Raw genomic sequence first — 26,556 nt, 5'->3', positions numbered from 1 at the left:
TCTCGGGCGTCTCATTTCCATAGGTGACTAACGCCAGTCTCACACTCAAACTTTTGGCTGACTCTGACCAGTGCAGCTTTGGTGCTCTCCAGCAGGAGGTGGATGTCCTTGAGAGTCAACTAAGTGAATGTGAGAGAGAAAAGGAGAAAGAATAGGCCTTTGGACACCCTGGACCACCCCTCCCCCCGGTGAGTGCACAGACTGAATTTCTCAAGGTCTTATCTCTCCAGAGACCAGGTTGGGAGTGCATGTTGGCTATGGTAAACTGAGGGGAAGGAATTACAAATCTTTTTCTTTTTTTTTTTGAGATGGAGTCTTGCTCTGTCACCCAGGCTGGAATGCAATGGTGCAATCTCAGCTCACTGCAACCTCTGCTTCCTGGGTTCAAGTGATTCTCCCACCTCAGGCTCCCAGGTAGCTGGGATTACAGGTGCACACCACCATGCCCTGCTAAGTTTTTTTATTTTTAGTAGAGACAGAGTTTTGCGATGTTGGCCAGGCTGGTCTTGAACTCCTGACCTCATGTGATCTGCCCACCTTGGCCTCCCAAGGAGCTGGGATTACAGGTGTGAGCCACCACGCCCAGCCCAAGTACAAATCTTGATAGAGAATAAATCTTTCATTTTTTTTGTTTTGTGCATCACTGAAAAATGCAGACCAAGATTGATATATTCTCATACATGAGCATACATATACACAGACATATGAACACCCCATAATCATACATACAAAATAACCTATGTTTATGCAAAATCAACCTGCTGATATGCTTGTATATGCACTCAGGTGCATGGATACACACTCAAACCCACACATGGTTATTATACTTTCACACTCAGCTACCTGTGGGTTGTGTGCTTTAAACTTGGCTTATATATTGCCTGCTTTTTCCCCTAGCTTCTTGTGCCCATGGAGGCCTCCAGGAAGTTAGCAAATCCCTTGTGGTGCAGCTCACTCGGAGAGGCTTCTCATATAAGGCAGGTCCCTGGGGCCGAGACTCAGCACCCAATCCAGCCTCTTCCCTTTACTGGGTTGCTCCTCTACGTACAGATGGCAGGTGAGCCCTGAGTGACTTCTGTTCTGCAATCGGATTAATTCCAAATGTCCCCTACCCATACCCAAACAGGGTTCTTTACAGCCCCACGCTGGTTTCTTCTATTTTAAGTATGCCCCAAAGCAAACCTAGCCTAGGCCTGACAGGTCACCTCCTAACGCTCTTCTCATGAGACAAGCGTGACCCAGACTGCCCTGAGTTTCCTTCACAAATCCACTGCCTACAAATTTTAATCCCATAGTAACTCAAAGATGGTTCTACTTCTACTCTGATTCTATGTAAAGAACAAACTCTTCTACACCTGGGCCTCAAAATTCTAACTTCCTGCTTAGAAGTTCAGAGCATGTCTCTGGCCAAGCTTGAGACTTGGAATTAAGCCAATCTGTGTTTGAAACTCTATACTGCCATTTAAGCTAAGTGACCTTGGGAAAATGAATTAACATCTCAGAACCTTTCTTAGCCATATGTAAAATGAGGATAATTATACATATTTGAGAAGATCACATAAGATTACATAGAAAAGTATGTAAAACATAGGTGATGATATGTATTTATTAGATGAAAGAATGGCTAAAAGAGTCAATAAATAGACGAATAAGACCTTCAATACATTGTCAACCTTGCTAGGGAGGTAGGCCCAACACACAGAATGTTAAAAGCCAGTGTGTGTGAAAATGTGATATAGACCTGTTGCGAGAGAGAGACATGAATCTAGGTTGAACCAGTCATTGAAGAGCTCCAGTTGAAGCTCAACTCAGAAAGATCAGTGTTACTGAAAATTAGTATTACTGAAAATAATATTCCCAAAATTCTATGCTTATCTAAAATGTATTGTATAGGCCACAATTTGTAGCATATAACTCATATGTGCTATACTTTGTAGCCTATAAAATACATTTACACGCCTTGGAACCCTCTCAAAATCTATAGGTAATCAGGACTTACAGAACAATGTTAAGAGATAAGATTACTCATAACTCAGAGATAATTTAAGGAACTTTCCAATGTGACCTCATGAGAACAAATCTCCCTGAATCCAGCTCCAGAAATATGTCCTGTTACAGGACCCTTGCATCTTGAGGACAGGTGGAAGGCAGTGCAGAGTAGATACAGAAGAATCTCCATAAGGAAGAAAAAATAATAGCTACCATTTTTTATTGCTTATTGAAACAAATGCTGTACTAATTGTTTTCTTTGCTTTATTTTGGACAGTCCTAACAGTCAATAAAGTAGCTTGTTACTTTTGTTTACAGTTTTTACTTATAAGCTGTGTGACCTCGAGCAAATGACTCAACCTTTCTAAGACTTAGTCTCTTCATCTGTAAGGATAAAACCTACCTTACAGTGCTGTTATTATAATTAAATAAGATTGTGCATATATAGTGTCTAATAGGCACTGTAGCTATTGGTGTTTTATTATTACTGTTACTTTTAAAAATAATTGTTTAGTTTGTCATGGTTGAGTAAGTGAAAGATGAACTAAAGTCAATTGTTTGATAGCAAAGCCCCTGCTCTTAATTAGCAAACTGATCTGCCTATTTTTGTAGCTCTTTGTTACCTTAGTTATGGCTGTCACCCAATAATTCTGAATGCAGGGACTTGGCCTAGGTACTTTGACTACTATCGGCTGTGCAAATCCTATAATGACCTCGCACTGCTGAAAAACTATGAAGAGAGGAAGATGGGCTATGGTGATGGCAGTGGAAACGTTGTGTACAAGAACTTTATGTACTTTAACTACTGTGGCACAAGTGACATGGCCAAAATGGACCTTTCCTCCAACACACTGGTGCTGTGGCGTCTGCTGCCTGGTGCCACCTATAACAACCGCTTTTCCTATGCTGGTGTGCCCTGGAAGGACTTAGATTTTGCTGGTGATGAGAAGGGGCTGTGGGTTCTCTATGCCACTGAGGAGAGCAAGGGCAACCTGGTTGTGAGTCGTCTCAACGCTAGCACCCTAGAAGTGGAGAAAACCTGGCGTACCAGCCAGTACAAGCCAGCCCTGTCAGGGGCCTTCATGGCCTGTGGGGTGCTCTATGCCTTACACTCACTGAACACCCACCAAGAGGAGATCTTCTATGCTTTTGACACCACCACCGGGCAGGAGCGCCGCCTCAGCATCCTGTTGGACAAGATGCTGGAAAAGCTGCAGGGCATCAACTACTGCCCCTCAGACCACAAGCCGTATGTCTTCAGTGATGGTTACCTGATAAATTATGACCTCACCTTCCTGACAATGAAGACCAGGCTACCAAGACCACCCACCAGGAGGCCCTCTGGGGCTCATGCTCCACCAAAACCTGTCAAACCTAACGAGGCTTCCAGACCCTGAGACCCCAGGGCTAGGCAGAGCATTGGTAGAAGTGTGCCCTCTTCCTTACCTCCAGGAGGACCACATCCCAAAGTGGCCATTGGTCCTAATGATTGGAAGACTGATTATATCTAGTGAGTTCTTTATGTAATTAATATCTCAATCAGTACATTAAGGTTCCCTTTAATAATGGTCTAGGTGGATTTGATAGGGAAAAAGTAAAATATTAGCTAAGAAAATGGTACCCTCTCTTTCTGATGCTTTGGCATCTCATATTCCTTTTTTCATAAATCCAGCTCCCGGAACTCAAGAGTTCTGTGATCTAGAATTGTCAATCTCAGGTTGGGAACACCTGATTCCAGTGCAGAAGCTGCAGGGCAGCTGGTCATTAGAGTAGGATATGAAAGTTCCCTTTCTTATCTCCACCTTCCTGTGAGGTCCCTGGGGAGAAAAGGGGCAAGATCTTGGTCTGGTAATCAATTTTTCATTGTCCTGGATCGATCTCACTTTTGAGTGCAATTGCAAGAGAATAGGCCTGAGTCTTGCTGTAGTAAGTTAGCAACTGGCCTTATAGCATGATGAGGATCTGACATGGATGGTGCTGGGGGTCTAGATATTCTCAATAAAGAATCATTGGTTTGATAGCAGAAGGTCTCCTGGCCAACGGCCTATCATCCCTTTGCTTGTCTTCAACACACTGGGAACATATGGGCTCGAGCTTTTTGCTTGTTCCTTAGCTATCTGTGTGGTGCTCCTCCCTCTCCAGGCAGGTGGATGGAATATATAAAATCCAGACCCTGAAGGCTTCCTAGTAACACAGAATATGCATACAATTTCATATATACATTCGATAAGACATGTACACTCTCACTCATATAAATAATTATTTCCATCTGCATCTAAATAAAAACCAAACACAATTCTCCAAATTTACATGGGACCAAGAATCCAGCTTTTTAGTTGCCTGTATTTGTCCCCTTAAGAATTTTACTACTAACCACCTCCTCTCCCACCTCTTGATTTACAGACGACATTCCCCCTTAATGCTTTGACATAAAGGTGGGCACACAAGAGTGGGTTAGGACATTGAAACAAATCATTCTAAAACTTCTGTTATATTGACATGTAGAAGAGACCAAGTGATATGTGAATAAAAGGCATATTATAAAAAAGAGCTAATTCACATTTAGTTTGGCATGTGCCTATGAAGAGCCTTCCTGGTTAGCCCTACTCCTGCTTCCTAGGACAGAGGAAAATTTTCCCCACCACATGGGAGCACAATTAAATATAGAATCCCAAAATCTAGACTCTATATAAGACCCAAATTTCCAGATCATTAAAAAAATTAATGCGCTCCTTCCTATGGGAGAGACTGCATTCTTATAGGAATGTGGCTTTATCTATGGCTTCAGTAGACCCAACTTTTCATACAAGTCTAACATCCCTATAAGGAACATACACACAGTATCACACGGAAACACACATCCCACATTTAAAAATATGGTTTTTATTTACTTTTTTGTTTTCTTACTAGTTCCATCCAGAGAACTTTGTCCCTGTTTTCTGGAAAATTATTTTATTTTATTGTAGAGCCCTGGACCCCTAAATATGTCCTCCTTCCCCAGCTGGCCCAGGGTGACTGCGAGGATAGAGTTGACATCACAATATCCCTTTTCTGAGGATTCATGCCCCTGGTGGGTGGGGTAGGAGGAGGGGTAGCCCTAGGAGAAGTCATCACCACTTTGTCCACCATGGGTGAATTATGAATCAGTAGCTATGCCAGGCCTCAGCTGGGCCACATCTGGAGAACTGGGGTGAGGGCACAACATCACAAAATATCTGGCCCCAGTCTGGTCACTCATCCCTTTTAGGGCAACAAGGAAACTATCCTGTGGCCTGAGAGCACAATACCTGAGACAAAGGCCAGCAGAAACATTTGTCTGCCCTCACCCTTTCTGCCCCAGCTTCCACCTGCTCCCCATCTGCCCACCCACTAAAGCCCATGTGGCATGCCATCTCTCGAACATCCAGGATGTCCCAGAGTGGATGTCCATCAGGTCTGCTGGCAGACAAAAATATCTCTTCAAGTGCCACTCGAGTGATAGTGAAGACTGCAGGCAACCAGAAAGACTTTATGGTAGCTGATGACATCTCGGTAAGGCAGTTCAAGGAGATGCTATTGGCTCACTTCCAATGCCAGATGGACCAACTAGTGCTGGTCTTCATGGGTTGCCTTCTCAAAGACCATGACACACTGAGCCAGAGGGGCATCATGGATGGCCACACCATCTACTTGGTCATCAAGTCCAAGCAGGGCTCCAGATCTCTAGCCCATTCCTTCCGGGACCTGCCAACGAATGATCCCTGCCACCGGGACAGAAACACCAAAGGAAACAGCAGCAGAGTGCACCAACCAACTGGTATGAATCAAGCTCCAGTGGAACTGGCCCACTTTGTGGGGTCTGATGCACCCAAAGTGCATACCCAAAACTTGGAAGTGAGCCACCCAGAGTGCAAAGCACAGATGCTGGAGAATCCTAGCATCCAGCGGCTTCTGTCCAACATGGAGTTCATGTGGCAGTTCATTTCAGAACATCTAGACACGCAACAATTGATGCAGCAGAACCCAGAAGTTTCCCGCCTTCTTCTTGATAATTCTGAGATCCTATTGCAGACTCTGGAGCTGGCCAGGAACCTTGCTATGATCCAAGAGATAATGCAGATCCAACAACCTTCACAAAACCTTGAGTATCCACTGAACCCACAGCCATATCTGGGCTTAGAGACAATGCCAGGTGGGAATAATGCCCTGGGTCAGAACTATGCTGATATCAATGATCAAATGCTGAACAGCATGCAAGATCCTTTTGGAGGAAACCCTTTCACAGCTCTCCTGGCAGGACAAGTGCTAGAACAAGTCCAGTCTTCACCCCCACCTCCACCACCATCACAGGAACAACAAGACCAGCTCACACAGCATCCTGCAACCCGAGTCATCTATAATAGCTCTGGTGGTTTCTCTTCAAACACCTCAGCCAATGACACCCTTAACAAGGTCAACCACACTTCCAAAGCCAACACTGCTATGATTTCCACCAAGGGCCAGAGCCATATCTGTGCCACTCGGCAGCCAGCTTGGATACCAGCCTTACCTAGCATAGAGCTTACCCAGCAGCTTCAAGAAGAATACAAGGATGCCACTGTTTCTCTAAGTAGCTCCAGACAGACATTAAAGGGTGATCTCCAGCTGTCAGATGAGCAGAGCAGCTCCCAGATCACAGGAGGCATGATGCAGTTGCTTATGAACAACCCCTACCTGGCAGCTCAGATTATGTTGTTCACAAGTATGCCCCAGCTGAGTGAACAGTGGAGGCAGCAGCTGCCCACATTCCTGCAGCAGACACAGATTTCTGATCTGCTTAGTGCTTAGGCAACCCTAAAGCATTCCAAGCAATATTGCAGATTGAGCAGGCCCTCCAGCTGCTGGCCACAGAGGCTCCTGTTCTTCTGCCTTGGGTTGCACCCTACCTATGGGGCCTGGGTTGGCTTCCTGCCCCCAGCTGCAGCTATCCTGACACAGTGCCCTGTTCCTGGAATGTTTCAGATACAGCTGAGCCCAAGGGACCTGAGTGCTGCCACAAGCCTGGAACAGTCCTGCAGAGGCTACAATCCCCGGATGGGGACCCTTCCCACCCTCTGCAAGCTCCTGAGATTTGTTTTAGCAAACAGATGGATTCTCTCCAGGCCATGGGATTTGGGAACCACCATGCCAATCTACAGGCACTCATTGCTACTGAAGGGGACACCAATGCTGCTATCCGCAAGCTCAAGAGATCCCAGAGATTCTAACCACCATGCCTACTTGTTTGCTTGCTACCTGCCTGCTGACCCACCTGACCATCTCATTTGCCTTTTGCACCTTTCCTGATGCTTCCAGCCAGGAGAAGTCCTGGAATAAGAGTTATCAACCAATGTGTCTTGTACTGAATAATAGATCATTGGTCGTGGCTGAAACATCTGTCAATAAAATGGCTACACTCACTTGCTGCGATCTGAGGTTTGGCTTTACTTCTTTTGCAAAAAAAAAAAGAAAAAACTAGCTGTGTGAGATTTTTGTCTCACCTACTATATGTACATTAACACACAAACCACATGCATATATTAATATAGAGATAAAAATAATGTTTTTATCTCTAAAACATGAGCATTTTGAGCATGGTATATGAAACTTGAGCATGGTATATGAAACTGATTATTTTGAGCATGTCACCTTGGACAGGTGTGTGTATGTACACAAGCTCACATAGTAAAAAATTCACATATACAGGCATATAGAGTCCACATATGAGTACACACAGCCATGTGCAAACACAGATGCAAATACCTAGAGACACATAAATAGACCCATATGTAGGGAAAACAATCATAACATGCTCAAACAGAAAGGGAAACATTTTACATAGATAGGCCCAGATATTTAGTCATAAAGACTGCCTGAATTTCTCAAACCCAAATTGTTCAAGTTTGAAAGTGGAACAGGAATAATATGAGGGCCAGAGTAGGGTGAATTCACATATTAACCAAGTCCGGATGAATAGTTATCATCATTGGAACCTCCTGCTCGTTGATTTTGCCACCATTATAAGATGGTGATGGGCTGTCTCTACTGTCTCTTTAGCACACAGAGATGCAGCTGCTGCCATCTCCACTGTATATCCCAGTCACCACAAATCCAGCCCTCCATGGGGCACAGCACCTTCCAAGAATATCACCTCCTTCAGTATATCTATCTTATGTTTGTAGTTTACATTTTCCATGGTTGCCAATGCCCCACCTTTTTCTCTTTCTGCCTCACCTAGAGTATCCCACCATGGCAGGATATGCAATTATTTGTGTTTTAATGATTCCATGATTAAATAATTTAAAACACTTTTACCATAATAATTCAATGTTGTTTTAGGCATTGAAAAAAATAGCAGTGAAAAAAACAAAGATCCTTTATTTATTGACTTTACTTTCTTTTGTGGAGATACAAGTTATGTTAAGTGGTAAGTGCTGTGAAGAAAAATGAATCAGAATAAGATATTCTACATAGGGTGATGAGGGAAGGCCTCTCTGAAAAGGTGACATTTGAGCAGAAGTCAGAAGTAACTACGAGAACTGAACATGCAATTCACTGGGAGAAGGAAGATCCAGGGGCTGTCTGAAAGTAAAAGGCCCAAGGTAGCAGTATTCCTGCTATGTTTTAAGAATAACAAGGAGGTGATGTAGCTGAAATGGACAAAAAGGAGCGGGGAATGGGGAGGAAGTCAGAGAGATTGTGAAAAGTTTTATAGGTCTGGTGAAAACTTTGGATTTTACTGTGAATGTAATAGTCACTGGTGAGTTTTGAGCAAATAAATCAAATAATTCAATTTATCAGTCTGGCTTCAGAGTGGAGAATGGACTGTGGTAGAGGAAAACCAGGGAAGCAGGGAAACCAGTTAGGAGGCTTTTATGATAGAGCAGTTGAGAAACAGTAGTTTCTTGCAGTAGGGTGGGAGCAGGGGAGGTGTTGAGGAGTAGATTCTGGACTCTAAAGGGGACCCATCCACAGAGATTTGTGTGCTCAACAGACCACCCCTTCTGAGCCCCAACATGGCCATCGGTAAGAGTGAAGGGCGGGCCTACAAACTTCCAAGTGTTTCTAGAAAGCTCACTGCCAAAGACCCCTACTTCATGTCTACACCTACCAAAAAGATAAGTCTCAATAAATAAATTACAGTGAAAATGGATTTTTTACCTCCCCATTTAATATGATTAAGCTTCATACCCTCTTTGCTACAGCTTGCATAAAAAGCTCAGGCTATCCAGGTCATCTTTTTTATTTTCATCACAATATGCTCTGAAAATTCCTCACTTGACTCATTTTTCTACTCGTCACCAGTTTTCCAGCCTCTTCATCCTACCATTTAGAAGTCATAATTTAGCAATAGAAAAGCCCACATATCTACAACCTTCTTCCTAAGGATGACTACACCTTTTTGCTATAATGGAGATCTGAATGTCTAGTGAAGACACTGCTTCTCCAGCAGTGGCTACATCTGTGTTTCCCTTGGACTTGGAAGTGGATAGATGTCACTCTTGCACCATCTTGCTGCTTCTCAGCCCAGTTTTCTGGCTCCAAGATTATTTCATGATGCATGAAGATAATAATTGTGGCATAATACTTGCCTAGTTAACTTATCATGGTGATACTCAACTCTTCACCTAGTCTCTGTTTAGGCAAAAAACGGCATACAGCTGTGCTGACTAGTTTCATTTAAACTTATTACCAAAAGATTTAATTACCGTCTTAGTAATTCTAACTGCATTTTCCCAGTCCAGTGATTCTCACCAGAATCTGCACCAGGATCACCTGGAGGGCGTGTTAAAACACAGATTTCTGCCCGACATTCCAAGGGTGTTAGATTCAGTAGGTCTACCGTTGGGTTAAAATCTCTAATTTCTAATAAGTTTCCAGGTGATGCTAATGCTGTCAGTTTGGAGATCATACCTGGAAATCCACTATCCTAGTTAATTCACTACCTTATTGTTAGTCCAAACTGCACCATTTTGTAAACTTCCCACTATTTTGCAGACCTTGGTCAAAGTGAAACATTTCACGGGGGTTCAGGCTGTGAGAAACATCCTGCCTAACCACCTGACCACAAGGCAGACAAAGGTCCAACTAAAGCAACATCCCTATCATATCTTGCTGCGCAAAGGTCCATTGAACACCACGATGACATCCTACAGAAACAAGGACCAAACTGCCTCATCATGAGCACATCTTATCAATATCCTGCCAGGCAGCAAGCCATACTGCCCAGACCCCTCCCTCCCATACCTATAAATTACCCCAGCCTGTAAGCAGTGGTGGGCTCTGGCATTAGGCTGGTCCCACACTTCTCTAGGTTTTATGCTAGACATAAACCCTGCATTTGCTGTGTGTGTGTCTTTCTTTAAGCCTTGCCTTCCTTTCAAAACCTAACACTTATTCTTTCAGATGATCAATTCATATCTTGTTTTCTCTTCTCAGATCTTCAATATCCATTTCTTATTCTAAATCTTAAAGTTGTGCTTATTTCAACAAGAAAGACAGTAATAATCAGAAGGGACTTCTACCTGTGTCTACCATGAAATCAACCAACTAGCTTACAACTGTCCCAATACACTCTGCCTCCCATTCATTCTGCTATCATGAATAAACTTCATATTCCTAAATCAAGCTCTCCACATAGGCACTTGCTCCCAATCTCTCTAACTTATCTATTCAAGAACTTAATAGTTTTCCCTTTCTCATGCATCAATTTTTTCTACTCACTGGATTGTTTCTATCAGAATATAAACATCATTACACTATTCTTAAGAAAAAAATCTAAAAAGCCTTTAACCCCACATCCCCACATAGCCGTCATCCCCTTTCTTGCATTTAAAATGCCCTAACTGGATCTACTTTTTCCCAAACCATTTGCTTTTAAACACACTCTGATTAGGCTTCCTGCCTCTACTATCCTTCCAAAGCTAGTCTCATCATGGTCTCCAATTCTTTATTTTTTCAAATCCAGTGGCCAATTCTCAATCCTCATCCTCCTGACCTAGCAGCATCATTTCACATGATTGGTTACTCTCTCCTTTTTGAAACTCTTCTTCCTTTGGCCTTTCTCTTTTCTCTCTCTTTTTTTCTACCTTACTCTTTTATTTTTTCTCCGTTTCCTTTGCCAAATTCTTCTGATCTTCCAGATTTCTAAATGTTATACAGCCACAAAACTCAGATTTTAAAATCTCTATCATTTTGCCTGTATGCACTAACTAGCTAATCTAAACCAGTCCATGATGTTAAGTACCCTTTGAATGCTAATAAACTCTGGACTTATAATATTAAACTACAATACTACATCTCCATTTGTATGTAAAATAGACATCTCAAATGTATGTAAAACTGTTTAACAACCTGCTAATTTAGACAAAGTGCTTATTCCCAATCTTTGTCTTAGTAAATATTCAATCCTTTGAGTTCCTTTGGGGATAACAATTTCTTTTAAAGTAAAAAAAAAGTTATCTCATGCTTGACTCCTCCCTTATACCCCAAATCCTATCCATCAGCGAATCAATACTTTGAAAATACGTAAAGAATTCATGGTTAATGTTGAATAAGACAGAAAACTGGGACATAGGATACCAGGAAGAAGACCCTGGACCAGGAAGTAGCTGAATGTGGGTCTGAATGGAGACAGAGAGGACTGAGAGATGTTTTATAACATTCCAATCCCAGTCTGAGCCTCCACAGAAGTCTCCACAGGAAGGCACTTGAGGTGGAGGAAGTAGAAGTGGTAAAAGATGGGAGAGCAAGAGTTCCCAGGGATCCCGAGCTCCTTAGAGAAGTCTCAAGAATCTTCTCTGTGTGAGGCTGTGACGTCAGCACTGAGGTCACAGAAGGGACCTGATAGTGCGGGTTCTGGCCCAGAAGGCCTCAGGGGTGGCTGTGTAGCAAGATGAGGGAGGTTTGGAGCCCTGCATAAAGAGAAGGACGGGACCACAGCTGACTGGTATGTACACCCCAGCTGGGCCCTTCCTTCTACCTTTGTCCCTGTATTCATCAACTACAGACCTCTTTCCCAGGGCCCTGCATTTCCCTCCCCTGATTCCAACATATCTCAATCCCGCAATCTTCCTAAAGCATCCTGCCCCAGAAACCTCATGGCCCCTTTCATGTAGACCCTGCAGATTTCCCTATCCTGATATTCAAGACCCTTTTCATACTCACCCTTCCTACTTTTGCCATTGCCTGAAAGGATGATCTTGGTCTCCAATCCCCATGCCCCTAGCTGTGTCCCCACAGATCTGGGCCTCCTGCTGCCACCATGGCCAAAGGTGGAGAAGCCCTGCCACAGGGCAGCCCAGCACCAGTCCAGGATCCCCACCTCATCAAGGTGACAGTGAAGACGCCCAAAGACAAGGAGGATTTCTCAGTTACAGACACATGCACTATCCAGCAGCTGAAGGAAGAGATATCTCAGCGCTTTAAGGCCCACCCCGATCAGCTTGTTCTAATCTTTGCTGGCAAAATCCTCAAGGATCCTGACTCACTGGCACAGTGTGGAGTGCGAGATGGCCTCACTGTCCACCTGGTCATCAAGAGGCAGCACCGTGCCATGGGCAATGAGTGCCCAGCTGCCTCTGTCCCTACCCAGGGCCCAAGTCCTGGATCACTCCCTCAGCCAAGCTCCATTTACCCAGCAGATGGGCCCCCTGCCTTTAGCTTAGGTCTCCTCACAGGCCTCAGTAGGCTGGGCTTGGCCTATCGTGGCTTCCCTGACCAGCCAAGCTCCCTGATGCGGCAGCATGTGTCTGTGCCTGAGTTTGTGACTCAGCTCATTGATGACCCCTTCATCCCGGGTCTGCTGTCCAACACAGGCCTAGTACGCCAGCTGGTTCTTGACAACCCCCATATGCAGCAGCTGATCCAGCACAACCCTGAGATTGGGCATATTCTTAACAACCCGGAAATTATGCGGCAGACACTGGAGTTTTTACGTAACCCTGCCATGATGCAGGAGATGATACGTAGCCAGGACCGGGTGCTCAGTAACTTGGAGAGCATTCCTGGTGGCTACAATGTGCTTTGCACTATGTACACAGATATTATGGACCCAATGCTTAACGCAGTCCAGGAGCAGTTTGGCGGCAATCCCTTTGCCACTGCCACTACTGATAATGCCACCACCACCACCAGCCAACCTTCAAGGATGGAGAATTGTGACCCTCTCCCCAACCCCTGGACTTCCACACATGGAGGCTCAGGTAGCAGGCAAGGAAGGCAGGATGGGGATCAGGATGCACCTGACATTAGAAATAGGTTTCCAAACTTTCTGGGTATTATAAGGCTCTATGACTATCTCCAGCAATTACACGAGAACCCCCAGTCCCTAGGAACTTATCTACAGGGGACTGCATCTGCCCTCAGCCAAAGCCAGGAACCACCACCATCAGTAAACAGAGTTCCCCCATCGTCACCCTCATCTCAGGAGCCTGGGTCAGGCCAGCCTCTCCCCGAGGAGTCAGTAGCAATCAAGGGAAGGTCCTCCTGCCCAGCTTTCCTGAGATACCCCACAGAGAACAGTACTGGACAAGGTGGAGACCAAGATGGTGCAGGGAAAAGCTCTACTGGACATAGCACAAACTTGCCTGATCTTGTCTCGGGGCTGGGAGATTCTGCCAACAGGGTTCCATTTGCTCCCTTATCTTTTTCCCCCACGGCAGCCATTCCTGGAATCCCTGAGCCTCCCTGGCTGCCATCCCCGGCTTATCCAAGATCTCTGAGGCCAGATGGCATGAATCCAGCTCCACAGTTACAGGATGAGATACAACCACAGCTGCCACTGCTGATGCACCTTCAGGCAGCCATGGCAAACCCCCGTGCCCTGCAAGCCCTGCGGCAGATTGAGCAGGGTCTACAGGTCCTAGCTACTGAAGCACCTCGCCTCCTACTCTGGTTCATGCCTTGCCTAGCAGGGACGGGTAGTGTGGCAGGAGGTATAGAGTCTAGAGAAGATCCCCTTATGTCTGAGGATCCTCTCCCAAATCCACCTCCTGAGGTGTTCCCAGCACTGGACTCTGCAGAGCTGGGCTTCCTTTCCCCTCCCTTTCTCCATATGCTGCAAGATTTAGTTAGTACAAATCCCCAGCAGCTGCAGCCTGAGGCTCACTTTCAGGTGCAGCTGGAGCAACTGCGGTCCATGGGCTTTCTGAATCGTGAAGCCAATCTTCAGGCCCTCATTGCTACGGGGGGCGACGTGGATGCTGCTGTGGAGAAGCTGAGACAGTCGTAGGAGCCTTATTCATTCAAACCATACGTTTTCCTCTGTGCCTTTTTCCCATATCCTAGTTCCCTAGCTCTCCCATTTTTGAATACAGCTGCATTATAAACCAAATTTACTATGAAGTCCTTTGCTGTGGAGGCAATGTTGTTCCAGAGTCAACGAGGAAGACTAATGGCCAAAACATAGTGGAGGTGCTGTGTGTGAGTCAACCACTTGTACCACTATACCACTGGGGGGCCCCAGTCTAAGCTCTGCTTATGCCTATCTTGAGATGCAATTACACCCAATTTCCAATGTGAACTCTTGCCTGAGTCTCATTCATGTGGGCTATGAGAAAAAGGATGGATATGGGAGAAGAAGTAGTGATAAGGGCTGTCTCTACATGGATGGAAGGACTTGGAGGGAAACTAAAAGGTCTGAAGTTAGAAGACTCACAGGTATGAAGAACAGAGGAGGAAATGTTGCTGCAACCTTTTGAAGGTCGAGGCCTGCAACTTTCCCAGTGTTCTTTCAGCGTTTCTTCAGATTTTGTGTCCTGTAGTAGCTGCTACCAGGTGCTCTGGTTTTCCGAGCTCCCTACCACTAGCCTGACTGAAAAGTGGTTATAGTTTCTTATTTTTATCTCCCCTGAAGACTATCCCCCAAGCAGCTTGCACTTCCAGGATTTGATGCTGATCTCTAAGCAGATAGAGATAGAGCAGCAAAGGAGTCAGGGTGACTTCTCAGATTCCTGAATCTTACCGACTTTATACAGTCCCTTGTAGCCAGATCCAGAGAGTTAATTTTTTGCAACTTCAAGCTCAAAACTGAAGACATACTTTGTGTATAGCATTTTGCTAGCTATTAGGAATTCAATATGAGCAAAAGAGTTTTACTCACTGCCCTGCCTCAATGAATTTATGATCTTATAGCAAGAATTGTGCAAATTGTGACTATATAATTCACATTATATATAATTACAAACTATGAGAAATGGTGTAAAGAAAAAGATGAGGAGCTGTGAAATAGCATGAACAGGGTCTTGATCTAGTCTGGGGAGAAAGGAAAGGCTTCTGTGAGTGTGTACTGCAAACTAGAATCCAAAAAGTGGTAAGAATTAAGTAGGTAAAGCTTTCAAGGCGGAGGGAAGAGCTTTCCTGCAGAAGAGCTATTATGTACAAAGGCACTGAGGTAGGAGGTGCATAACACATAGAAGATGCCCTTGGGATCTCAGACTAGATCCTTGTTTGCATTCAAGGATGCCTTCCATTAACCATGTACTTCTAGGGTAAAAGTGTTGCAATTCATAAATCAAGCCAGTAAATAATGCTTTCCAGTCCATATGCACACAAATGTGTCAGGTAAACCCACTGTAGAGAAACGCACAAACACACAATACACATCCACTTAAATATGTCTTCACATGGGTATATTCTATGTACATATGTACAAGCATACATACAAAACACAGTCTGTTAAATCAGAGTTTCATCGCAAAATGGAAGTGTAAACCTAAGAAACATTCACAGTATTTTCCTATCAAGGAAGTAAAGAGGTCTTGATGGGGGATACCTAAAAGTGGCTGTGGTGTGTGTTTAGATGTCAGAGACTCAGTACTGGGAGAGAGGGAACCTCTACTTGGAGCTCAGGATATTTTGATCAGCCTGTGTAACTTAGAGCTGCTAGCACACGGTTTAAAGGAGATAAAAGCAGCCTTTGGGAAAACATTTATTCTAGCGATTTAGGTTTCAATGTTTAGGTGGAGCACAAGGTTCCTGATATGATTTGGCTCTGTGGCCCCACCCAAATCTCATCTTGTAGCTCCCATAATTCCCACCTGTTGTGGGAGGGACCTGGTGTGAGATGATTGAATCATGGGGGTGGGTCTTTCCCATGCTGTTCTCGTGACAGTGAATGGGTCTCACGAGATCTGATGGTTTTAAAAACCGGAGTTGCTCTACACAAGCTCTCTTTTTGCCTGCTGCCATTCCAGTAGGATGTGACTTGCTTCTCCTGGCCATGGTTGTGAGGCCTCCCCAGCTATGTGGAACTGTAAGTCCGGTAAACCTCTTTCTTTTATAAATTGCCCAGTCTCGGGTATATCTTCATTAGCAGCGTGAAAACGGACAAATACAGCTTCAGTTTCCCCTCACTCCACTCCCCATTAGGGGATAGTTTTTGTCCAGATTAAAGAAAAACCTATTGTTTATGGTGGTGCTAGGGGAAATGAAGAGGAAAGTCTTGCCTCTCCATTTTCTTCCGTTCATGAGGTGAGTTCTCTGGGTCTGCCTCTGACTGGGGAAGATATACATTGAACCCCAAATTTCCATCCTTGGAAGTCCAGATAGGTCTGAGGAAAAAAACAAAAAACCTAATAGCAATGTTACTGCATTTATCTGCCTTCCATTTGAGCCAAAGAAAACCTGAGGGTCATATGAAGTGAAGTCCTGTTAATTGGAAGGCCAGGTGGGTCTGAGGAAAAAAGCAAAAACAAAACAAAACAAAAAAACACCTAATGGGAAGAAATGTTACTGTTTTTATCTGCCTTTCATCTGGGCCAAAGAAAACCTGAGGCTCCTTTGAAGTTAAGCCCTGCTCATCAGGGAAGACACCAGGTGAATTGGGTCTAAAAGTCTTAGCTAGGGAGAAGAGTGTTCATTTAGTGGATAATTCTCTTGCCATAACCTCTTAGAGCTCTTCACAATTGACTGGGTGCTTGGAATCCTTGCTCTAGCTTCATTAAAGAGTAAACTCATCAGCCTCATGCCTGGCTCCAAGGTGGTGAATCCAGGAGGAGGAGGCTTCTGGGGCAGGGAGGGTCACTGTCTTCTACCTAGCAGCTAAGGTAGGGCCTGGTACGTGGAAAGTGTGCAATCAGTGATTGAAGGAGTGTTAAACAATGAGTGACTAAGTTAGAAAACAAATGAGGAAGTGACTGGGGACACTGGATAGATACAAATCAAATTAAAGATGTCACAGGACCAAAGCTTGTGCTTGGGAAAATAAAGGCTATGAGAATTTTAGGGGGAGGAGGTCCCTGCAGGCTGATGTTGCTGAAAGAGCAGGCCTCCTAGGACTTCCCATCTGCTGTCCCTGTTCTTACACTCTATCAGCCATGGCCCAAGATCAAATCTGAGTTGTGGAAGGACATGACAAGGGGGTTACACAGGTGGCGAAGAGAAGATAGAGTCACAGAGTTTTGGTCATGCTGGGCCTACTGCATGGCCCTTTCCAAAGAAATTGTACTCTTTCTTCAGACCAAGAGATTTGCTAGAAAGCAGAAAAACAAGCCGTGTTAAAGTCTGCAATACTGAGAGCTGATGTGGATAACAATTAGCTAGGAAAGTAGACGGCAGTTAAGGAGAAAGTTATCCAAACCATAAAAAGTGCTTTTAAGCATCAGTGTTATTTCTTTTTTTTCTTTAAAAAAACAAAACTAATATCTTCATCATAAACACATGCCCATATTTTTTTTCTATATGTTTTAGGGCTTCATTACTTGTATTTATTTAATATTAATTTTAGCTAACACTTATTGAGGCTTTACTATATGTCAGGCTCTGTTCCAAGCTTTTACCATCGGATTCCACACAATAGTCCTTTAGCGCAGATATTAGTAGTATCCCTAGTTTATGGATGAGGGCAGCTGAGGCAAATGAAGAGGGGAAGTACATCACTTAAAGCTATAAAGCACTTCATATTACAGCCAGGATTAGACAGTCTAATTCCAGAGCCCATACTCTTAATCACTGCAATAAATCAAGTTAATTTAATTTATGCTTTAATCCTTACCCCTCAAAAAGTAGAGCAGGGCAGAATTTGTGATATTGAAATTTTTACCCCCGAGTCCTGCGAGTATCTACACTAGACTGAAATGTCGTCATTACCATAGCCTACATATGCATAGATGTTTTTGTTTCTTTGCTTTTTATTTTATCTAATACTACACTTCCTCAATTATTTTAACTTTGAAATATTTAATGACAAAAAGAATAATGCCTGACATTGCAAGATACCATTGGCTAATTTTGTCTATTTTTCCAAGTACACTTTATAGCAGATGTCAAATTTCAGAAAAGGCCAAATGAGATTTTGATTGGCTTTTTATTATAAATTGGAACATGTTGAGGAATTTGCAATAGGCAGTCTTTCCTTTTAAAATAGGGAATATTTCTATTTAAACTTTATTTCTTTGTAAAAAAAAGTGTAGTTTCTTCAAATAAGCTTTACGCATTTGGGTTTATTTACACGTGACATTTTTTGATTGTTATTTTGAATGACAGTTTTTTTCATTATATTTTCTGGGTGAATTAGACTGTGATGAAACTGTGCTATTACCAGTTGCTGTGTTATTACTTCAGATCTTTGTTAATAGATGCTCATGCAATCGAGTGTATGCATCTTTGATAAATAGTTGCAAAGCCTCTACTCTTCTAATAATTTGTATGTATGTAAGTTGTACATAAGATAGGTAAAATAAGAATATAGAAAAATTCACTACACAGATAGCACTACCAATACTATGATGTTTGTACTTTTATATATTTTAATACAACTATGATTGTACTGTGCATAGTTTCATAACCTACCTTTTTAACTTGGTAATATATCATGAATTTTTCCAAGTTATTACCCTTTGACACTCACAGTTCAATAAATATTTCCTGCACATATTGTATGTAAGAAATGATGTTTGGTGCTAGGAATACAATGGCGAACAAGATTAGATATGTTTCCTACCCTAAGGAGTTTAAAATATAGTGGCAATGACATATTTCAGTTAACTCTTAAAGAGATCTCACGGAAAACTAGGCACTGTTCTATAGCCTTTGCATATATTCATTTATTTCTTACAGAAACCCTGTAAGGTAGGCTCTATAATTACACCTATTTTTACAGGTAAGTAAACTAAGGCATAAGAAGGTAAAGTGTCTAGTCCAAGATTAGGTAGCATGTGAAGGAATGGTTGAGCTGGAGTTGGAATTTGAACCGGTCTTTCTAGAGACCACATTCTTCTCTCACTTCTATTACACAAATGATTATTGGTTTATAATTACAACAAATTTCATGCAGGAAATTGCTAGTGCATATGGCAGGAGGAGGGATGTATTTTTAGAATGATAGAATCTCTGTGGAGGAAGTATTTATACAGAGATTTGAAAGGTGAAAGGAAGCCAGACATTCAAAGAGCTAGGGGAAAAATGTCTCATGCAAAGGAGAAAGGATAAAAGAGAATCCTGATTTTGACTGGAGCTCGATACATTCATGGAAAAATTTAAACAAGGCCAGTGGGTCTGGAGTACAGAGAATGAGAGGGAGAGTGCTTCAAGGTGATGTGGGAAAGACAGGTGAGTGCAAGGTCAGGAAGGCTTTGTCACCCATGTAGAGACATTGATTCTCAACTTACACAGAGAATGAATGAGAGAGTGACAAGCGGAGAAGCAGAGCCAATCTGAAGACCCCTGTAGTCATTCAAGTGAGAGATGGTACTGGCTTAGAATAGGGTTCCTGACGTGTGTATGACAAGAAGTGGACAAATGAGAACATATTTTGGAGATAGAATTTACAAAGCTTTCTGATGAGATTAAATGTGCAAGATTAAAGAAAGGGAGAAATTCACTCACAGGTGGGAGTTGAACAATGAGAACACATGGACACAGGGCGGGGAACATCACACACCGGGCCTGTCGGGGGTTGGGGGCGCTGGGGGAGGGATAGCAGTAGAAGAAATACCTAATGTAAATGACCAGTTCATGGGTGCAGCAAACCAACATGGAACATGTATACCTATGTAACAAACCTGCACGTTGTGCACATGTACCCTAGAACTTAAAGTATAATAATAAACAGGGAGAAATTAATAAGCAAAGAAGAAAATATCACACAATGGTAAATTCTGTGCATATAATCAAAATATAGTGATAGGATAGTGAATTAGTGAGAACGTGATCTGAATAATTAAAAGGGACAATCTTGTTATAAAGTCTTAGGAAACAGCTACTGTGGCAGCTTTAAGGGTAAGTTGGGCGCTTGGTGTGTTCTAGAAGGAGAAGAGAAGCCAGTGTGGTCAAGCTTCTTAGACAAGAGGAAAATTATCAGCAAGAGGAAGTCAAGGAAACAGGCAGGAGTGCAACTATGGGAGGCTTTAGAGCTAGTCAAGGAACTTGGATTTTATCCTGAGTATAATAAGAAGGTAACTTTTGCTACTCCCATCAGGATTTTATTTGATTTATTTAAATAAACTTTTAAGACTATCGTAAGCCACATTTAGCCCGAATCTACTCGAAGGACACAGGAAACAAAGCAAAAATCACCAGTAGGGCAGAATCAGGCATTCCTCTTTTGGTGGGAGTTCTTATTGTAGCCCAGGCATAGGTTAGTATAGCCACCCAGAAGTCATTTTCTCCCAGGTGTAAGGAGTCAAAATCTGTATCAGGCAAGTCAGAGAGAGGCTGCAGGTTAAGTCCTGGTGCCCCATAGTAGCTAACAGGCTTTTCAGCCCTCCATACACCTATGTTCTAGACTCTGCAAGAAATGCCTTATTATAATTTCCCCAAACTCAGGGCTGCCCAAACTATGGAATCTCCAACAGGTATTTATGATTCATTATAACTTCTTCCCATTCAGACAAGTTTGCCAATCAAGGGTCATTTCTATCACAGGCAATGCTGCCTAGTGTCAACCTAAAATAATGGCAGAGAGACAAGCTTCCCAAATAAATTACTTTGTTCAGGAATAAACAGGACTATAACCTGGGATATGCATGCTATGACAGATCATAGGCATATTCAGGGAGGTGGAGGCAAGGGAAACTTTTAAAGGCAAAAAGGAGAAGTATATGAAGGTCGTTTTGAAACAAAAGTTCATTGGTCATAGGGGCTTCCCACAGTTGGTGACATGTGCACTGACCATAGTTAGGAGTGGGTCTTCATAGAAGTGACATGACTACAGGGTTGTGGTTTAGTAAAGCTACTTGCAAGGCCGCAATTAGGACTATTACTGGAAAGATGTCCTCGTCGAAGCGGCTTAATTGCAAGGTGTGGTTTTGGCAGAGTCTCTTATGACAGTTCTTGTTATCAGGCAAATATACATGAGGACCCTCCTTTTATGAAGGTCCCAAACTAAATGGATCTTCTGGCTCCATTTAGTTTGATTTTGACATGAATGACTCCATTTTGGTACCGACAGTTTTCACACTAGCAATATAATTGGTATTTTACAGTTGTCTGTTTTTCAGGGAAACAGAGCCAGTAAGTTTAACTGAAAATCAGATTCTCATGCAACAGAGGAGTTTTGTTAATCCTTTTACTTATATACTTCAGATCACATAGGGCACTATGGTCTGAGATAGATATTAGTGAGCATGGTGATTTAGAACGGTTTCAAGTAGCTTTCAGTTGGGTTTACTACTGCAAGAGCAAAGAAGCAGGGCAAAAGTTATGTGAAATTAAATACACAGAAGAGTAGGTGGGCGTAGATCCCCATTGCTTCCATAATTCTCACAAAGGTGCACATAATTTGGTCACTGTGTCCTTTGCAAAATGGTCTAGCAGGTCAAAGGGCCGGGATTGTGAGCTCACTGTCTCTTATACCCCTAGGCTAGGCAGGGATCACATCAGCACTCTAGAGCCTATTTGCCAAAATAAAAGGCAATTCTTTGCAGAGTAGATTACATATTCCATGTTCTCATTACTGTATTATCAGGACCACGGGAGTCCTAGTCACAGATGGGAATTTAATTAAGATAGTGAAATGAACTCATTTCCCTTGGCTGTTAAGTTGGCAGTGGGTGGTGAGGGCAAGAGTGGAAGCTGACAAGCTAGTACTTGGATCTGCAGAAGTCCAGGGAAGAGATTGTTTAGACTTGTGTCATAACAGTACTGATAGGGTGATAGATTCAGGACATATTTTTAAGGCTTGGTAGAAAGGGCTTGCTGATGGAATTAACATGGGACAGAAGGCTTTTTGACTTGTGCAGTTAAGAGGATAGTGGCCTTTAAGAAGGAGAATAACTGGAGGAAGACGCTTTTCAGAGGAATATAAAAAATACTGTTTTGACCCTGCTAGTTGAGGTCCCTGTTAGACTTCAAGTGGAGATGACAAGTTTAAGTTCTGGGCATATTCAGAGGAATATAAAAAATACTGGATTATTTGTCTAACCCAGTGATGTAGAGTTGCTGTTCCTAAGTATCTGTGGGTGTTGCTGAAAGCCATGAATGGTATCATCCAGGTCTACTGTGCAGACAGAAACAAGAGTGGGGCCCAGAGCTGATCCAAATTTATAAATCCTGTTTTCATAAATTCACAGAGATAGAATTATTCACAGAAATAGGTCAAAGAGTAACCAAAGGCTTGAGCTTAACAATTTAAATGCTATTTTGAATGGCTGTACTATCATATCTCCACATTAAAACAGGATAGGGAGGCACTGGGGCCAATTTTTCATAGACATCATTTAAGAAAACCTAGGTCAGAAGGTCAAGCAGTTGAACTTTGTGCCCTGTCATCCCCTAATTTCCCTGTCAACTTGAACTTCATTCTAGAAGTTCAGTCCCTGCCTTTGCAGCCTTGTACTTTCTTGGAAAGTTTTATGTTCAAATGTGTCCCATGTCGGAATAATAGCTCCCTGACCTGTGGGACAATCTATGATTAATGCATCCCAGGAGAGTACATGCCCTTCATCTGGCCTCCAGCCCTTATTGAATGGGGGTAAGATTGAAAATTTATAAAGATAGGATAAGGCCTGTGGCAAAACAGAAACTCATTTAGAGGCTTATTGGTCAGACTGGAATTTAAAGAGGAGATTTTTCAGGAGGTCATCATGTTTGTCTATTAAATCTGTTACCTGGGACCTGTCAGGAACACGAAAGTTCTATTGAATGCCTTTCCCAAGGACCCAGCATGCATGGTGTATCTTAAGAAGTAAAGGGTGTATCTTGGTTACAATTAGTAATGTCTGTAACTCTGAAGGGAATGAGGGTTTTGGCAAGGCCTTGTATTGTGACCTTGGTATATAAGGAGACATACTGAAACTAATATCGTTTTGACTTACATTTTGGGTATATTCGTGAGCAAGAGATTCTAATATGTTGATTTTTTTTTACCTTGAAGAAGACAATTTGTAGGTAATGGCCCAATAATTTATAATACATATGAAGACAGGACCATTTGTTGGCCAGGGCATCCAGTGTTAAGGTGACTGCCTTAAGATTAAGATTAAGTGTGATGTTTCTTGGGTCCTGTCCTTTGTTAGGGACATCCTGGCTAATGGATGGAAAGCAGCAACATTCCACTAAGCTCTATCACCTGTCATGGTTAGCAGTGCCATTGGCATAGTCCAGGAACTACCACTGCTGTTCACTCAGCTAATCCCAAGGATCGCCAAAGATAGCTAAGGGGTTTAGGGAAGGGTGACCTCCTCCAGCACCATGGCATTTGGCAAGGAACTGAGAACAGGGGAAGCTACCTCTTCTGCTGGTGGAATATCCTATAGGGCTCAAGTTTGGTTCCATACTGTCTTAGGGAGGCCTCACTAGCTGTGCCAAGGTTGTGAAGGTTAGTTTTTAAAACCCAAAACATAATGGGCAGGTGGGAGTGGAAGACCACATGCTAAGAGTTTGTAAGAGCCCCTATTTCCTGGAGAGTCCAGTAGGTAACCAGTCATTAGTTGTTTCATGCCATTAATAAACGTGTCAAATGCATTTCCTTGGAAGAGGATACTATGAATGTGATGTCATACCTATGCTCCTGGAGAAAGGTGTGTATAGTTAAGAGCCTCTCTGCTAAGACTGTGTGTGATGGCAAAGCTGCTGAGAAACTCCATGGGTAGCTGGCAAAAGGTGTATTGAGTTCTTTTGAAGGTGGAGGCAAACGTGGTGAGAGATTGTTAAAATAGGAGTTTAGCCACCTGTAGTTGTCTTTATGTTCTGTCTTTGACTGACAAGAGAAAAAGGAAGGGACCCAGTGTCTCTAGGCAGCAACCTTAACCACAGGATACTCAGTCCTTCTACCCCTCAACTTGTTTTTTATTTTTAATCTCTGTTTTCTTTGAATGCTTACCTGAGGAGATCCTGGTAGTCCCAAGTGTTCTGATGGATACCCTCTCTAGAGTGTCCCAATCAACCTTAGAGAGCCTGGGGGTCTACATCACCAATAGTGGACTCAATTTTGTCTTTTAAATTATTTATTGTTTGACAATTTATTTATTTTGAGACGGAGTCTTGCTCTGTTGCCCAGGCTGGAGTGCAATGGAGCGATCTCAGCTCACTGCAACCTCTGCCTCCCAGGTGCAAGCGATTCTCCTGCCTCAGCCTCTGGAGTAGCTGGGATTACAGGCCTGCACTAATTTTTGTATTTTTAGTAGAGACGGGCTTTTACCATGTTGGTCAGGCTTTAAGGAAGAGATTATTAACATGTCAATATGTACCAGCACTTAAAAGTACTCAACGCATTTACCAGGTGAAGTGTAATTTACAATGAGCTGAGAAACATCTTCAAGTGTCTTAGGAGAAACAAGATCAAAGAATTCCTTCTCCTCTCTTTCCTTTCCTCTCTCTTTTTTTTTTTTTTTTTTTTTTTAAACATTGATTCACCATCTTCTGTGGATGGGATCTGTGATAGCCCATGGGGTTGGAGACCAATGAGCAATGGCTACAAGGATGCAGCAGAGAAGGTGCCACTGGTCCCAGCAGCATTGACTCTAATGAAGTGCTGTCTAGGACTATCCTCGGGAGGAGGACCATTTGACTCTTGGAGGGAGGAGAGTGAATTATCTTCTTCTCCCAAGTGCTATTGAGAGCAGGCAGCATCACGTACGTCTACTGCAGCCTACTGGCTCCCTCAGCTTTCCAGCTAGCATTCAGCAATATATACACCCATGACCCTATGATGGGGGAAACTCCACTTCTAGTGTCAGGGGATATTCCTCAAATTATAATCACTCAAAGGTGCACTGAAAAACAGCCAAGTCACATGGCCAATTCAAAAGAGGCTCCCCCTCTTGCTGGGATCAAGTTGGAATGCAGTATCCTGGAGTGTGTTATCGGGATTGGGACAGGATCTAGACTTTAGGAAGGGGATTCTTGGCAGTATTCAGAAGAGGTAATACAAAGCCATGCAAGGCAGTACACAAGAATGTCATCGGAGTAGAAAGGCCTCCAAAACAGTAGAGCCCTATGTAGTTAGGCAATTAAACCATGAGCGGTGAAAGGGCATCTCTGAGGGACATTTCACTGGAGTTTGGAATGATCGCATTTTTGTTGCCAATTCAAATCATTACAACAAGGCATGGAAATCACACTCAGAAATGCATAAGAGATAAAAATTTATAATCACAGTTTCTAGAGGGAACCAGAGGCATGCCATGCAAGGGGCCCTATGAGAAGAACTCCTAGGGAACAGGCTCCATCAAGCAGGAGAGCCAAGAGAGAATGTGAACCCATGGGCAGGTACCTCCATTGAGAGTCAACGTGGACTACACAAGCAAGAAGCATGAGGGGATTTTACTGGTACATTTGAATATCACTAGGTCACAATCAGGGAAGGCAAGAAGAGGAACTTGTGGCAGGAACCAGACTTATCACACCGGTGTACCTGGTAACTTGGTGAGGGGTGGGTTGCTCAGAGTCTGTTCATGGAGAGGTTAAGGTATCAGGAACATATGAAGTTAAAAAAAATTGCAATATGCCACCCTGCTACGCTGTATTTTGCTTACAAATTTTATGGAGAATAACTTTTCTATCTCTTCACTTTCAGCCTATGCGTGTCCTTAAAGCTAAAGTGAGTCTTTTGCAGGCGGTATATAGTTGGATCTTGTTTTATCCATTCAGTCACTCTATATGTTTTGATTGGAGAATGTAATCTATTTAATTTAAAGTGATTATTGATAGGCAAGGACTTACTATCATTATTTTGTTAATTGTTTTCTGACTGTGTTGTAGCTCCTGGTTCTTCCTCTCTTCTTGTTTTCCTTTTTGATTTGATGATTTCTTTTGTAGTGATATGCATTGATCTCTTTATTTTTGTCTTCTGTGTATCTACTACAGATTTTTAGTTTGTAATTACCATAAAGCTTGCATAAAACATGAGTCTATTTTAAGCTGATAACCTAAGTTAAATTGCATACAAAAACTCTACATTTACTTACTTCTCCTCACCTACACATTTTGTGTTACTAATGTCACAATTTATAACTTAATACACTGTGTATCCCTTAGCAAATTATCATATAGATATTTTTAAAATTTGTTTTTTTAACTTTTATACTAAGATTAAAAGTGAGTTACACATTACCATTACACCATTATTCTGATGTTGACTTTATACTTACCTTTACCAGTGAGTTTCATGCTTTCATACATTTTTATGTT

General features: G+C 42.8%; 3 protein-coding genes and 1 pseudogene across 7 annotated transcripts in view; all 4 read left to right on the top strand.

The window, feature by feature from the left end:
* The first annotated feature begins 23 nt into the window (after positions 1-23).
* On the top strand, positions 24-3,499 carry OLFM5P (olfactomedin family member 5, pseudogene; annotated as a pseudogene). Its single transcript, NR_133006.1, has 3 exons — positions 24-188; positions 898-1,057; positions 2,663-3,499. The product of NR_133006.1 is annotated as an olfactomedin family member 5, pseudogene (transcript).
* Positions 3,500-5,109: 1,610 nt separating this feature from the next.
* On the top strand, positions 5,110-7,416 carry UBQLNL (ubiquilin like). Its single transcript, NM_145053.5, has one exon. It carries the CDS (start codon positions 5,368-5,370, stop codon positions 6,793-6,795), a length of 1,428 nt encoding a protein of 475 aa, NP_659490.4. The 5' UTR covers positions 5,110-5,367; the 3' UTR covers positions 6,796-7,416.
* A 4,435-nt stretch (positions 7,417-11,851) lies between these two features.
* UBQLN3 (ubiquilin 3) lies at positions 11,852-14,509 on the top strand. 3 transcript variants are annotated; one of them, XM_011520145.3, is made up of 3 exons: positions 11,852-11,935; positions 12,215-13,190; positions 13,650-14,509. In XM_011520145.3, the coding sequence occupies exons 2-3, from the start codon at positions 12,251-12,253 to the stop codon at positions 14,216-14,218; spliced, it is 1,509 nt and encodes a 502-aa protein (XP_011518447.1). In that variant the 5' UTR covers positions 11,852-11,935; positions 12,215-12,250; the 3' UTR covers positions 14,219-14,509. The 3 variants fall into 3 exon arrangements, with proteins under 3 accessions (XP_011518447.1, NP_059509.1, NP_001334025.1); NM_017481.4 differs by having other exon boundaries at positions 12,215-14,509; NM_001347096.2 differs by having other exon boundaries at positions 12,182-14,509.
* Positions 14,510-16,156: 1,647 nt separating this feature from the next.
* The window catches only part of OR51B5 (olfactory receptor family 51 subfamily B member 5), a 165,335-nt gene continuing 154,935 nt past the window's right edge, over positions 16,157-26,556 (top strand). For both annotated transcript variants that reach the window (NR_038321.2, NM_001005567.3), the window contains exon 1: positions 16,157-16,240. The gene's annotated coding sequence lies outside the window, so the exon portion shown is untranslated. The remainder of the gene's footprint in view (positions 16,241-26,556) is intronic.

Source organism: Homo sapiens, chromosome 11 (assembly GCF_000001405.40).
Source record: "Homo sapiens chromosome 11, GRCh38.p14 Primary Assembly".
Taxonomy (NCBI): Eukaryota; Metazoa; Chordata; class Mammalia; order Primates; family Hominidae; genus Homo; species Homo sapiens.
This window is presented reverse-complemented; position numbering and strand designations above follow the sequence as displayed.